Source organism: Homo sapiens, chromosome 12 (assembly GCF_000001405.40).
Source record: "Homo sapiens chromosome 12, GRCh38.p14 Primary Assembly".
NCBI lineage: Eukaryota > Metazoa > Chordata > Mammalia > Primates > Hominidae > Homo > Homo sapiens.
In genome coordinates, this window is record NC_000012.12 from 93,340,047 (window position 1) to 93,354,402 (window position 14,356).

Consider the following 14,356-nt stretch of genomic DNA (forward strand, 5'->3'; position numbering starts at 1 on the left):
GATTGTGCCCACTCCCATTGATGTCCATTGTTATTATCATTTTACAATTTAATTAAATATTACATAAGTGCTGAAATAGGAATGCAAAACAAGAGTTGTTATTTTTGTAAAAATTAAGTTGAATGTTTTGGGGAAAGTTGATAGAATAAATCATTAAAAATATTGTCATACAGGTGCAAGCTAATCAACTCTAAAAGTTTAGGGCAGAAAAGCCTACTAAGATTCTGCCCTCAAAACCAGAAAATGTAACTCGGACACGGTGGCTCATGCCTGTAATCCCAGCACTTTGGGAGGTCAAGGTGGGCAGATCACTTGAGGTCAGGAGTTCAAGACCGGCCTGGCCAACATGGCAAAACACCATCTCTACTAAAAATACAAAAATTAGCTGGGCATGGTGGTGGGCACCTTTAATCCTACCTACTCGGGAGGCTGAAGTGGGAGAGTCACGTGAACCTGAGAGGCAGAGGTTGCAGTGAGCTCCAGCCTAGGTGATAAAGTGAGACTCAGTCTCAAAAAAAAAAAAATAAACAAATAAAATAAATTTTTTAAAATTAGGAAATGTGGATAATATTTTATGAAAATAGTTTGTGCAAAAAAAGACAGAGTAGAACCTGAATCAGCAGGTCCGTCTTGAAAGGAAAAGCCTTGAGGTCTAAACCAAAAATAGACAAATGAATCTATAGTATATGCTGTGAACTGTATAAAAATATTTAAGGCTTATAGGTATCATATCATATCTTTTTTTTTTTTTTTTTTTTGGTCTCACTCTGTCACCCAGGCTGGAGTGCAGTGGCACAATATCAGCTCACTGCAACCTCCACATCCTGTGCCCAAGTGATCCTCCCACCACAGCCTCCCAAGTAGCTGGGACTACAGGCATGCACCACCATGCCCAGCTAATTGTATGTGTGTGTGTGTAGAGATGGGGGTTTCACCATGTTGTTCAGGCTGGTCTTGAACTTCTGGACTAAAACAATCCTCCAGCCTGGCCTCCCAAAGTGCTGCAATTACAGGCATGAGCCACTGTGCCCGGCCTGTCATATCATTCTTTATGATTATAAACACTTCCAGAGTTTTTTTCAGTTTACTAATTTACTGGTTCCTGGTCTATGGATCTGGCAGATTTTCTACTGTACATTGGATTATTCAAAAGCTCTATCTGAAAATGGTATCTCTCCAGGAAGGTCCCTGTAATTCCATCCTCCTGGCCCGCTACCCTACTAATTAGAGTGATATGGGATGGCCATAGCTACGTTTCCATCTTGCCGTTTTCTCTAACGTCACGTCCTGAATAAGGTAGGAGAGTCTAACCAACTGTAAGGCATTTAGATATCCATCATCATAATCTTTCTAAAAGGAAATTTTACTTTAACATTATAGTGAAAAGAAGAAACTCTTTTCTGAAACAGAAGCCCTCTCTGGAGAGCTTATTTTCAGAATGGTAAAATGGGGAACTAACTTTAGTTAAGTATCTTCTGAGAGCAGATGCTTTCATATCTAATTTTCTGTAATCTTTGCAAACATTCTGTGAGTTCAAAATCACTGGCCCCATTTTATAGATGAGGAAACTGAGCTCCAGGGAGGTTAAGCAAGGTCACACACAGGCAGTACCAGAGAGGTGGCATGTGACCCATTGTGAGCCAATATACTTCCCAAGTCACCAAATTACATCTGATGATTTGCCCCAAATGTGACATCCCAGTTTTTTTCAGAAGTAAAGTAGTATGGTGGCTACGTATTATGTTTCTTAAGTTCCAGCTACTTCAAAGGGATTGCCCTTGTTTCATTATTGGAATGTGTCCAAACTGAGCAGCTCCCCTGCCCTCCTTCGACACTGGCTGAGGATGGATGCAGAGGCTCTATAAAAAGCCCGAGGATGGATGCAGAGGCTCTATAAAAAGCCCTTTGCTACATGCTATGCTATGCTATGCTATGCTATGCTATGCTATGCTATGCTATGCTATGCTATGCTATGCTATGCTATGCTATGCTATGCTATGCTATGCTCCAGTTATTCTAGAAATTCTCCAGGCTATCCCCTACCCCTCTACTTTCAACTCTGTCTCTTTCTCTGTCCCTCTTTGTCCTTTCTCTCTCTGTTATGGGTTAGTTTCTCCCCAAAAGATATTGAAATCCTGTGACTATGACCTTATTTGGAAATAGGTCCTTGCAAATGATCATGTTAAAATGTTAAAATGGGTCCTGGCCAGGTATGGTGGCTCATGCCTATAATCCCAGCACCTTGGGAGGCCGAGGTTGATGGATCACTTGAGGTCAAGAGTTTGAGACCAGCCTGGCCAACATGATGAAACGCCATCTCTACTAAAAATACACAAATTAGCCAGGCACGGTGGCACACGCCTGTAATCCTAGCTACTCGGGAGGCTGAGGTAAGAGGACAGCTTGAGCCTGGGAAGCAGAGGTTGCAGTGAGCCAAGATCGCGCCATTGCACTCCAGCCTGGGTGACAGAGTGAGACCCTGTTTCAAAGAGATAGACAAGAGGGAAGATGATGTCAGGACACAGGGAAGGAGGATGCCACCTACAAGCCAAAGATACCAGAAGCCAGGATGGAAGCAAGGAAGGGATTCTCCCTCACAGCCCTTAGAAGGAACCAACCTCTGCAGACACCTCAATTTTGTACTTTTTTTTTTTTTTTGGTGACGGGGTCTCGCTCTATTGCCCAGGCTGGAGTGCACTGGTGCGATCTTGGCTCACTGCAACCTCCACCTCCTGGGTTCAAGCGATTCTCCTGCCTCAGCCTCCCGAGTAGCTGGGATTACAGGCATGCACCGCCAGGCCCTGCTAATTTTTTGTATTTTTAATAGAGACAGGGTTTCACCATGTTGGCCAGGCTGGTTTTGAACTCCTGAACTCAAGTGATCCGCCCGCCTCGGCATCCCAAAGTGTTAGGATTACAGGCGTGAGCTACCGCGCCCAGCCAGGGAAGAGCACTTTAATGAATTTAATTTCCTTGGGAATCCCCAAATTTAATTGTGCCCTTATCAGTAATGTTCATTTTGTTAATGTAAAAGAAATATATACACCCTGCAGAAAATATAGAAATTAGAGGAACTATGAAGAGTAAAAGGCCAGGCGAGGTGGCTCACACGTGCAATCCCAGAACTTTGGGAGGCCAAGGCAGGCAGATCATCTGAGGTCAGGAGTTCAAGACCAGCCTGGCCAACATGGCAAAACCCTGTCTCTACTAAAAATACAAAAATTAGCTAGGTGTGGTGGCACACGCCTATAAGCGCAGTTACTCGGGAAGCTGAAGTAGGAGAATCGCTTGAACCCAGGGCTCATAGGTTGTAGTGAGCTGGGATCACACCACTGTACTCCAGCCTGGGCTACAGAGTGAGACTTCATCTCAAAAAGAAATAAAATAAAATAAAATAAAATAAGAGAGTAAAATTTAATGACAGTAAATCAATCATGTAGCGAGAACTATTGTGAATATTCTGGAGTATTTCCTTCTTGTCTTTTCTTCTATGAGCACACACACACACACACATACACACACATAAATTCATATACTCAGCACCCTCTGCAGTGTCTGAAACATCTGTGTGCTCAATAAAGTTCAAAGAATAAATGAATGAAGAAAATTTTATTTTTACACATAGTCAAACTTACGTACAGTAGGAAATTCATTTTTAAAAATCTTACTCAACACATTATGTGTATTTTTCTATGTATTATATAGATTTTTAAGGCATTTTTTATGAAAGCATAAGTGCTATAGAATAATGCTGACCTAAACGAACATCTAGTACATAACCCTACATTTGTATCTCTGAAGATTCCCTTAGCCTAAATTCTTTTTTTTTTTTTTTTTTTTTTTTTGGTGAGATGGAGATTTACTCTTGTTGCCTAGGCTGGAGTGCAATGGCACGATCTCGGCTCACAGCAACCTCCTCCTCCCAGGTTCAAGTGATTCTCCTGTCTCAGCCTCCCGAGTAGCTGGGATTACAGGCATATGCTACCATGCCCGGCTAATTTTGTATTTTTAGTAGAGATGGGATTTCACCGTGTTGCCCAGGCTGATCTCGAACTCCTGACCTCAGGTGATCCGCCCGCCTCTGCCTCCCAAAGTGCTGGGATTACAGGCATGAGCCACTGCGCCCGGCCAACCCTTAGGCTAAATTCTTAGCCATGAAATTAATAGGCGAAAAAGAATAAACTATTTAAGGTCCTTGGTGTCATTCAGCGTTCACAAACGTCCCGAATTGAAGTGATACTTCACATGAAAACCCAAGCAAGCCTTTGCAAGCTCCCTGGCAGCCCATAGGCACAGATTCTCCATCTGTGGGGTGATCCTCTTATATAGACTGTAGCTCCATTATCCCCTCAGACCAGGGATAACCCTCCTTCTCCAGCATCTTTAGGTCATCCCTGGAATGACCTGAGCTGGATTAAGCTCCAGCTCAGCTGCCCTGGTCCTCCACAAAGGCTCAAAGGAGAGATCGAACTTTTGGTGTTACATTCCATTTATTTATTTATTTATTTATTTATCAATCAATTTATTTTTCTTTTTGAGATGAAGTCTTGCTCTGTTGCCCAGGCTGGAGTACAATAGCGTGATCTCAGCTCACTGCAACCTCCGCCTCCCGGGTTCAACCGATTGTCCTGCCTCAGCCTCCCGAGTAGCTAGGACTACAGGCGCTCACCACCACGCCCAACTAATCTTTGTATTTTTAGTAGAAATGAGGTTTCATCATGTTGGCCAGGCTGGTCTTGAACTCCTGACCAGTGATCCACCTGATCAGGTGATCCACCTGCCTCAGCCTCCCAAAGTGTTAGGATTATAGGCATAAGCCACTGTGCCCGGCCTTGCATTCCATTTAATTCTCACTTCAGCATGTCTTTAATATCTTTCTACTTTCTCTAGCCCTATCTATTCCAAAGAAATTCTGTGTCACGAGCTATTTCTTTTTTTATTAGTTTTTTTTTCATATTGTGTGCAGTGTGAGATGGAATGTAAGTGGGTGGCTTTGTCCTTCCTTGAAACATAACTTGTGCCAAAAATAACATCATTTGAATTGTGTGTCTTTGGTAACAACATGACATATGCCACCGCAAGTACATTCATCCAATATGTGCATGTTACAGGGCTATGCACTGCGAAGTCTTGTTTGCTTGTTTTTTGAGATGGGAGTTTCACTCTGTCGCCCAGGCTGGAGTACAGTGTCGCGATCTCGGCTCACTGCAACCTCCACCTCCCGGGTTCACGCCATTCTCCTGCCTCAGCCTCCTTAGTAGCTGGGACTACAGGCATCCGCCACCATGCCTGGCTAATTTTTGTGTTTTTAGTAGAGACAGGGTTTCACCATATTAACCAGGCTGGTCTCAAACTCCTGACCTTGTGGTCTGCCTGCCTCGGCCTCCCAAAGTGCTGGGATTACAGGCATGAGCCACCGTGCCCAGCTTGTTTGTTTTTTAATAACTAAAACTCTGCCTTTCAGAATTCAGATTCACCATATAACATCTTCACCCAAATGTTACTCCCCTGGAAGCCTTTCCTGACCATCTTTTTTCCATTTGCAACGCCCTTTCCTCCTATGCTTAATTCTTTTCATAGCAGTTATCACCACCTCATCTACTATATATTTTACTCATTTGTCTTGCTAACTATTTTTCTCACCCACTAGAAGCATAACCATGACAGAGCCATTCATTCATTCATTCACTGTGTATGTAGTGAACACCTACAGGTGCCCAGGAATGTGTTAAGCATGAGAGTACGGCTGCTTTCCAGCAGCTTACAATTAGAAATACCAAACAGCTAAACAAAGATCAGAGTGTAATCTTTTTTTTTTTTTTTTTTTTTTTTGACACAGGGTCTTGTTCTGTTGCCCAGGCTGGAATGCAGTGGCACAATCTCGGCTCACTGCAGCTTCAACCTTTCAAGCTCAAGTGATCCTCCCACCTCAGCCTCCCAAATAGATGGGACCACAGGGATGCGTCACTACACCCGGCTAATTGTTTATTTTTAGTAGAGAGGAAGTCTCACTATGTTGCCCAGGATGGTCTTGAACTCCTGGGCTCAAGGGATCCGCCCACCTTGGCCTCCCAAAGTGCTGGGATTACAGGTGTGAGCCACTGCGCCTGGCCTCAGAGTGTAATCTTTCAACACTAAAATAAGTGGGGCAGGACAAGTTAGGTTTCCAGAGGAAGAGAAGAGCTCAGACTGTCTCAAATGAGGGTCAAGCTATAGGAAGTAGGTGAGAGTTAAAGGCAGGTCAGAACTTGATGGAGGAATTTGAGGTAGAAACATTTGGCTCATCCCATAAGCAGGGCAGATTTGTGAGCAGGAGAATGGCATGATAAAAATGATTTATTTAGATTAAGCCACAGTGGCTCACACCTGTAATCCCAGCGCTTTGGAAGGCCGAGGCAAGCAGATCAATGGAGGCCAGGAGTTTGAGACCAGCCTGGCCAACATGATGAAAACCCATCTCTACTAAAAATACACAAATTAGCCGGGTGTGGTGGCACGCTCCTGCAATCCCAGCTACTTAGTAGGTTGAGGCAGGAGAATCGCTTGAACCCGGGAGGTGGAGGTTGCAGTGAGCTGAAATTGCACCACTGCACTCTAGCCTGGGCAACAGAGCAAAACTCTGTCTCAAAAAAAAAACAAACAAACAAACAAAAAAGAGAATGGGTGAAACTCTAGTTCGAGAGTCAATTTGGCCCTGGGATGGGGAGACACTAAAGGAAGGTGATAAATAAGAATGGACAAAGAGGGTGGAAGCTAGCACTCAGTCAAAACACATTCACCTCAAAGCAGGCAATTCTCAAAATAAGATGTTTAAGATCATCAACCATTAAAGAGGGCCTCGTTAGTGGGTTACAGGAGACTGAGTTTTGCTGCCTGAATTGGGAGAGAGGGAGTGAGAGATACAAAAAAGCAGAGGGTAAAGTCAGCTCGGTTATTCTATGCTAAGTTAAACCCATTTAAAGAGCCCAGATGAAGAGGAAAAAAAAAAAATGAGAGGAGGGGAAAAAATGAGAATCGCTATTTTAGACAAATCCCATATGGGTTATACTCTTAATTTACTTAAGCCAGATGGCTAGGCTGGGGACCGACTAATTTATTACCATCCTGCCATTCAGAGCCAGAGCCTTCCTTAGGTTCCTAAGCAACTCTGAGGGGGAAATGTCAGATTGCATGAAATTTCCTGATTAGGTCACATGACCCAAGCACAGCCCACTGAAATGATTCGAATCCTCCAAATCGCATATTCCAGATCACAGCTGTCAGCTCGGCCCTCTCCTGCTTATGGCAGATGCACGGGCCTTCCCCTCTTTGCAGGCAGTATGGTGGCAGTTCTAGGAATAAGAAACACCAAAATAAAGGCTGGGGGAGGACTGACAAAAAAAAACTTTAGAATTTGGCATTTCAGATTCTCCCTTTGTACCATGTACATCCCAAAATTTTCTATAAAAGAAGGAAAGTAGCAAAGTATTTTTAAAAGGAGCATTTAAACTACTGTGGCAATTAAGCAGCAATCTCTGAGTCAGCAAATCCCATCCAGCAAACTGAGTAACATTTGAGATAACATGAGAGGATTAAAAAAGTAGGGACACTAGCCGGGTGCAGCGGCTGAGGCTGGTAATCTCACCACTTTGAGAGGCTGAGGAAGGAGGATTGCTTGAGCCCAGGAGTTTGAGACCAGCCTGGGCAATATGGCAAAACCCTATCTCTACAAAAAATACAAAAAATTAGCTAGGCATTGTGGTGTGCACCTGTAGTCCTAGCTACTCAGGAGGCTGAGGTAGAAGGATCATTTGAGCCCAGGACGTTGAGGCTGCAGTGAGCCAAGATCACACCACTGCACTCCAGCCTGGCCAACATAGTGATACACCATCTCTACTAAAACTACAAAAATTAGCTGGGTGTGGTGGCAGCCGCCTGTAATCCCAGCTACTCAGGAGGCTGAGGCAGGAAAACCGGTTGAACCCGGGAGGCAGACGTTGCAGTGAGCCAAGATCGTGCCATTGCTCTCCAGCCTGGGCAGCAAGAGCAAAACATCTTCTCAACAAAAAATTAAATTAAAAAATTGGGAAAAAATAAGCAGCTAGGCTGGTTTATGATCTGAAGAGGAAAGCATAATGATATAACAAAAGCAACAATGAACATGTTTTAAGATGGAGTCATTATGTAACAAGCCATGTAGAAACTATTGTTACCCGCATTTTGTATTATGGATGAGAAAACTGAGGATTTCTAAAAGACTTAAGTTAGGTCTCACCGCTAGTAAGTACCACTGTTAGGGGCCAATTCTATTCATTCGTCAGAGAATAAGAAAATGATTGGCCAGAAAGGTGAAGGGCAGGCCGGGCATGGTGGCTCACACCTGTAATCCTAGCACTTTGGGAGGCTGAGGTTGGTAGATCACCTGAGGTCAGGAGTTCAAGACCAGCCTGATCAACATGATGAAACCCCGTCTCTACTAAAAATACAAAAATTAGCCGGACGTGGTGGTGGGCACCTGTAATCCCAGCTACTCAGGAGGCTGAAGCAGAAGAATCGCTTGGGCCCGGGAGGCGAAGGTTGCAGTGAGTCAAGATCACGCCACTGCACTCCAGCCTGGGCAACTCTGTCTCAAAAAAAAAAAAAAAAAAAAAAAAAGCGAAGGGCAGCAGGCTGCAAATGCCAAAATGAGAGCATAACTAGTGGTTCCTGGGGCCTGTCTATGAGCAGAGGTGGCTAGAAAGCTAACAGAACAGTGACTGCCAAATGCGGAATGGAGCATGTGCCAAATTCAACGGGGATTGAATCCTGGAACAGAAAAAGGATATTAGTGAAATCTGAATAAAGTCTGGGGTTTAGTTAATAGTAGTGTACCAATGTTGGCTTCTTGGTTGTGACAAATGTACCATTGTCATGTGAGATGTGGGTAAGGGACACAGGGGAACTCTCTGTACTCTCCTGCAACTTTTCTGTAAATCTAAAATTATTCTAAAATTAAAAGTTTTAAATAAATTTAAATGAAATTAAAAGTTTATTTTTAAATTATTTAAGAGAAGAGAGTATTGGTGACATGTTTACAAATATTCTTCAGAAGAGTAACATTTTAAATGGCAATGGCGAGGGTAACGCTGCATTTTTGTAGCCAGTCATATTTCTTGGCAGACAAGATGACTAATGACAATCACAAGGACTAACATTACTGAATGCCTATAATATTTCAGCTTCCGCCCTAAGGATGTTACATGCATGCCCATAGCATCTTCAAGATTATTTTCCCAATTTACAGATGAGAAAAGTTCTTAGAATAGTGCCTGGAATCTGGCAGGTGCTCAAAAATTAGATCTTTTTTGTTTTTTTAACAGAGGCTAAGAAATGTACCCAGCTTTTGAACAAGAGTCACAATTCAAGTCCAAACTCTAAAAGGTTTTTTTTTTTCCTTGTGATGGAGTCTCACCTGTCACACAGGCTGGAGTGCAATGACATGATCTCAGCTCCCTGCAACCTCTGCCTCCTGGGTTCAAGCGATTCTCCAGCCTCAGCCTCCTGAGTAGCTGGAACTACAGGCGCCCACCACCACGCCCAGCTAGCTTTTACATTTATATTTTTTAGTAGAGATGGGGTTTCACCAGGTTGGCCAGGCTGGTCTCAATCTCCTGACCTCAAGTGATCCGCCCACCTCGTCCTCCCAAAGTCCTGGGATTACAAGTGTGAGCCACCGCGCCCAGTCCCTTCAAGGCTTTTAAATCTCAGCCTTGCCACTTACTAACTCTATGACCTTGGGCAAGTTTCAAAGCCAAAACAAAGCTAACTGATATCACAGAATGGATTTTAAAAGTATGTTGAAAGTTGCATAGTATCAACCTAAATTTCTAAACAGACAAATTATTTATAGAATATTTCAAAATTGTCAAATTGAATAACTGGAAAATAATCAGGCTGTATCGTTCTGCATTGAAATCAATAAAAATAGGGCTCAAAATAACAGTTCTGAAGAATCCTTGGGCACACCTCTGGATGTAAGAACCAAACAAGAGACAACTAAGGAAATTGTTAACTCCTGGTAACTACCAGAGCCTCAAGGAAAAACGTGTTTTCAGCTCTCCTCTGGGGTCAAATGACTATAGCTCACTGGGCCAGACAGGATCCATGATGAGATTTTCTCAAGAGGGGAAGGTGGTAAGGGCAAATTATAAAGATACACCTTCTGGCTGGGTGCAGTGGCTCACACCTGTAATCCCAACACTTTGGGAGGCCAAGGGAGGCAGATCACTTGAGGTCAGGAGTTCAAAACCAGCCTGGCCAACATGGTGAAACCCCATCTCTACTAAACAATATATAAATATAAAAATTAGCCAGGCATGGTGGCATACGCCTGTGATCCCAGCTACTCAGGAGGCTGAGGCGGGAGAATCTCTTGAACCCGGGAGGCAGAGGTTGCAGTGAGCCGAGATCATGCCACTGCACTCCAGCCTGCGCAACAGAACATGACTTTGCCTCAAAAAGTAAAATAAAATAAAGATAGGCCTTCTGATGACTGACGCTCAGTCATCTCACTGACGCTCAGTCATCTCTACTAAAAAATAAAAAATAAAAAATCTCTCGTAGTTCATGAGCATGATGATTGTGTTCACACGCATGTGTGAAACGTACCACCACAAATCTTATTACAACGTTGGTACATTACCTGCCTGGCATGAAAAAAAAAAAAAAAGAGTGAGAGAGAAATCCCTGAGTCACACCTCTGTTCACACATCTGTTCATTTTAAACTAGATCTTGGCCTCAACTGTTACAGCAAAAGGGAGGTCACAGCAGAAAAACTAAAGTTTTTTTTGGCTTCCAGGTAGGCAGAAATCCAGATTCAACCAATATAAAGACTATTGAGGGAGGGTTTCAAGAACTAACTTCAGAGGCCTACCACATCATTAACCGTACCCATCCCTGCCAACCTAGGTACAAAGATGGGGGTGCTGAAATCCAATTCATACCTTGCTGATACAAAGCTGCTTAGAGCCTGAGAAGGCTGAAGCCCTCTTCCAATACATCTGCCCAGACCTCCAGCCATTCTAATTAACATAAAAGCAAGAAACATGCCTCACCCTTCCCCATCCCCATACCCCACTAAAATGTGACACCCTTGCACATCTTGATCCAAAATAGATTGCCCAAACAATAACAAAACCCTAAGCCTAGAGTCACATATTTATTTTTTTTAACAAATACTTGTTCAGCCCCTGCCAAGACCAGCTTGGTCGGGGAGACCCTAACCCAGCAGCACTAGAGGAATTAAAGACACATACACAGAAATATAGAGGTGTAAAGTGGGAAATCAGGGGTCTCACAGCCTTCAGAGCTGAGAGCCCCGAACAGAGATTTACCCACATATTTATTAACAGCAAACCAGTCATTAGCATTGTTTCTATAGATATTCGATTAACTAAAAGTATCCCTTATGGGAAATGGGATTAACTATAAGTATCCCTTATGGGAAACGAAGGGACAGGCCTAATTAAAGGAATAGGTTGGGCTAGTTAACTGCAGCAGGAGCATGTCCTTAAGGCACAGATCGCTTGTGCTATTGTCTGTGGCTTAAGAATGCCTTTAAGCAGTTTTCCGCCCTGGGCGGGCCAGGTATTCCTTGCCCTCATTCTGGTAAACCCACAACCTTCCAGCGCGGGCATTATGGCCATCATGAACATGTCACAGTGCTGCAGAGATTTTGTTTATGGCCAGTTTTGGGGCCAGTTTATGGCCAGATTTTGGGGGGCTTGTCCCCAACAAGCCCCTACTCTGTGCCCTGGCCCATTTTCTTCTCCCTGGATCCCTGGGCTGCCTTTAATCTCCCTATTCCACCCTTGCTTGCCCTGCAGGTCTCCAGTTCATAATCTATTTACTGTTCCTTCTCCAGGGCCCCACCTTCTGGTGTGCAGATCCGCCATCCCTTTTCTCCAGCATGGATTATTGTTCTATACTCCTCTCTGCCCTAGGCTTTACCTCTTTCCTCCTGGCTTAATTTCATCACCCTTAATCTCTTCACTGTTCAGCCCTTCTTGCAGCTCTTTCCCAGTCTCCTGCCACTAATGTCTGATCTCAACCAACCACACAACAGCCCCTGAATACAGCAAATGGGGCTGAAAGAACGTAATTCATTTGCCTGTGCTAATCCCACAAGCAAGTGGTCCCATTCAACAAATTCTGTAAATCAGTAATGGTAACAATAATAGCTGGCACTTGAAATTGAGCTGATGGACAGGTTGCAGTTATTAGTAATGAAGTCTAAGGATTGACTTTGGGTGTGAGTGGCATGAGGCATGGAAGGGTGCAAGGCCATTTGAAGAGGGGAAGCCTAAGAACACTAAGACTAGATACCATATTGAAAAAAATCATCTGTAGGGATAAAACAATCATCAAGGATGACAGAAACCACGTGGGTGAGAGGAAGCTTGAAGGAATGAGGGCGTGTGTGGGAAGGAGGAGGCGTTAGAGGACAGCAACACGGTGGGGTAGAGTTTGATGATGTGACAGTCGGAGGTGGTAGTGGGAGCTACAGAGTGGGAGGGAAAATGGCCTGGACGCAGGAACGAGAACACTCACCCCATTTGCAGGCCTGTGGTCTGAGGAGTGTGGGAGAGAAAACGGCCATCCACAGCAAGGGGAGCAATGTGCTCAAGAGAACCAGGTCTAGCAAGCAGGCAAAGAGAGCATTCAGATAAGTGAGGAAGTGAGGTTTTTGAAAGAATACAGCTGAGGTCCCTGTGGAAGAGTTGCAGAAGTTGGGGAGTGGGCCGGTGCAGTGGCTGACGCCTGTAATGCCAGCACTTTGGGAGGCCGAGGAAGGTGGATCAAATGAGGTCAGGAGTTCGAGACCAGCCTGGCCAACATAGTGAAACCACGCCTCTACTAAAAATGCAAAAATTGGACAGGTGTGGTGGTGCGCACCTGTAGTCCCAGCTACTCGGGAGACTGAAGCAGGAGAATCATTTGAACGTGGGAGGTGGAGGTTGCAGTGAGCTGAGATCATGCCACTGCACTCTAGCATGGGTGAGAGAGCAAGACTTTGTCTCAAAAAAATAAAAATTAAAAAAGTTTTTTTTAAAAAGAAGTTGGAGAAGGGTAAGACATGGGATCAGAAAAGGGGATATCCAAGGCCATGTGGATATCAGAGTCTAAAGGATGAGCGATGACCTGGGAGACTGGGCTGACATAAACAGGGAGGAACAGGAATGACATGAGGGGATTAGTCCCAGGATCCCAGAGCAGATTGCAGTGGCACAGCTGTGAGTGCGGGGGGCAGGATAGTAAGGGTTGTCAGGAACATGAGGAGTTCTTGCCCACTGCAAATTAATAATCTGTTGGGGGAGCCCCATATACATGACAGAACCATACATCCCAGATGCCTTTGAAAATTGCAGATATGGAAACCTACAGGAGAGCGACCCAAATCCAACAGGGAGGGTCATAAAAAACTTCGAGGGAGAGAGAGAGAATAACGGAATTCCATAAAATGATTGCAACCACTAGAAAAAAAAATTTTTTTTTTTTGAGATGGAGTCTCACTCTGTCTCCCAGGCTGGAGTGCAGTGGCATGATCTTGGCTCACTGCAACCTCCACCTCCCGGTTTCAAGCGATTCTCCTGCTTCAGCCTCCCAAGTAGCTGGGACTGCAGGCATGTGCCACTAAACCTGGCTAATTTTTTTTGTATTTGTAGTAGAGACAGGGTTTCACCATATTGGCCAGGCTGCTCTTGGACTCCTGACCTCGTGATCCACCGGCCTCGGCCTCCCAAAGTGCTGAGATTTCAGGCGTGAGCCACCACGCCCAGCTGGAAAATAATTGAGATGCTTCTCCTATGGCAATGAGTCTTTGTATAAATGAACCATAAGTTGAAAAAAGTTGTATAATATTTTATATTCACATTATTTGAATAGTCTTTGGTCTTGCCAGAGTGAAATGTATTGCATTTGGCTAGAGAACTTTGCAAGATTTACACAGCACAAGGTGAGTATATTACCTTTAATGTAAGTTGTAAAATTCTAAATAGATGTAGGTTAGAGATTTTCTAAGATTCTAATTCTTTCCCTATCCCTTTATTACCTGAAATCTCTGAAATTACCTCCAGTATTTGGGGTGATGGCTAGAGATAGAAAATTAAATTGATGGAACCTTCCCTGACTCCCTTATCTAAATTAGCTAAACTACCTTTATGTCAAAATGTGTTGATTGCCTGAATGTATCTCATATAATCCTCATAACAACCAGCAAGGTAATAATTTCTATTTTATAAACAAGAAATCTAATGTTCAGAGAGCCAAGATAAGTTGCTCCCACAGCTAATGAACAGCTGAAGAGGGACTCATGATTGTCTGCTAACTGCCCTTTCC

At 43.9% G+C, this 14,356-nt stretch overlaps 1 long non-coding RNA gene and 1 other non-coding gene across 2 annotated transcripts in view, besides 1 other annotated feature; one reads left to right on the forward strand and one right to left on the reverse strand.

Annotated features, from left to right (window-relative positions):
* The window catches only part of LOC643339 (uncharacterized), a 373,979-nt gene that overhangs the window by 336,289 nt on the left and 23,334 nt on the right, over window positions 1-14,356 (reverse strand). The gene's annotated exons all lie outside the window — the stretch shown is intronic.
* Window positions 7,260-7,428: a silencer, noted in NCBI's record as "fragment chr12:93741082-93741250 (GRCh37/hg19 assembly coordinates)". NCBI's record gives its function as "represses an EF-1alpha promoter that drives an FKBP-Casp9 reporter gene in an ReSE screen in phorbol 12-myristate 13-acetate-treated (for megakaryocytic differentiation) K562 erythroleukemia cells {active_cell/tissue: K562(+PMA)}" and the evidence as "EXISTENCE:reporter gene assay evidence [ECO:0000049][PMID:32094911]".
* LOC124903116 (small nucleolar RNA U13) lies at window positions 10,570-10,670 on the forward strand. Its single transcript, XR_007063650.1, has one exon. It is a non-coding gene; the product is annotated as a small nucleolar RNA U13 (small nucleolar RNA).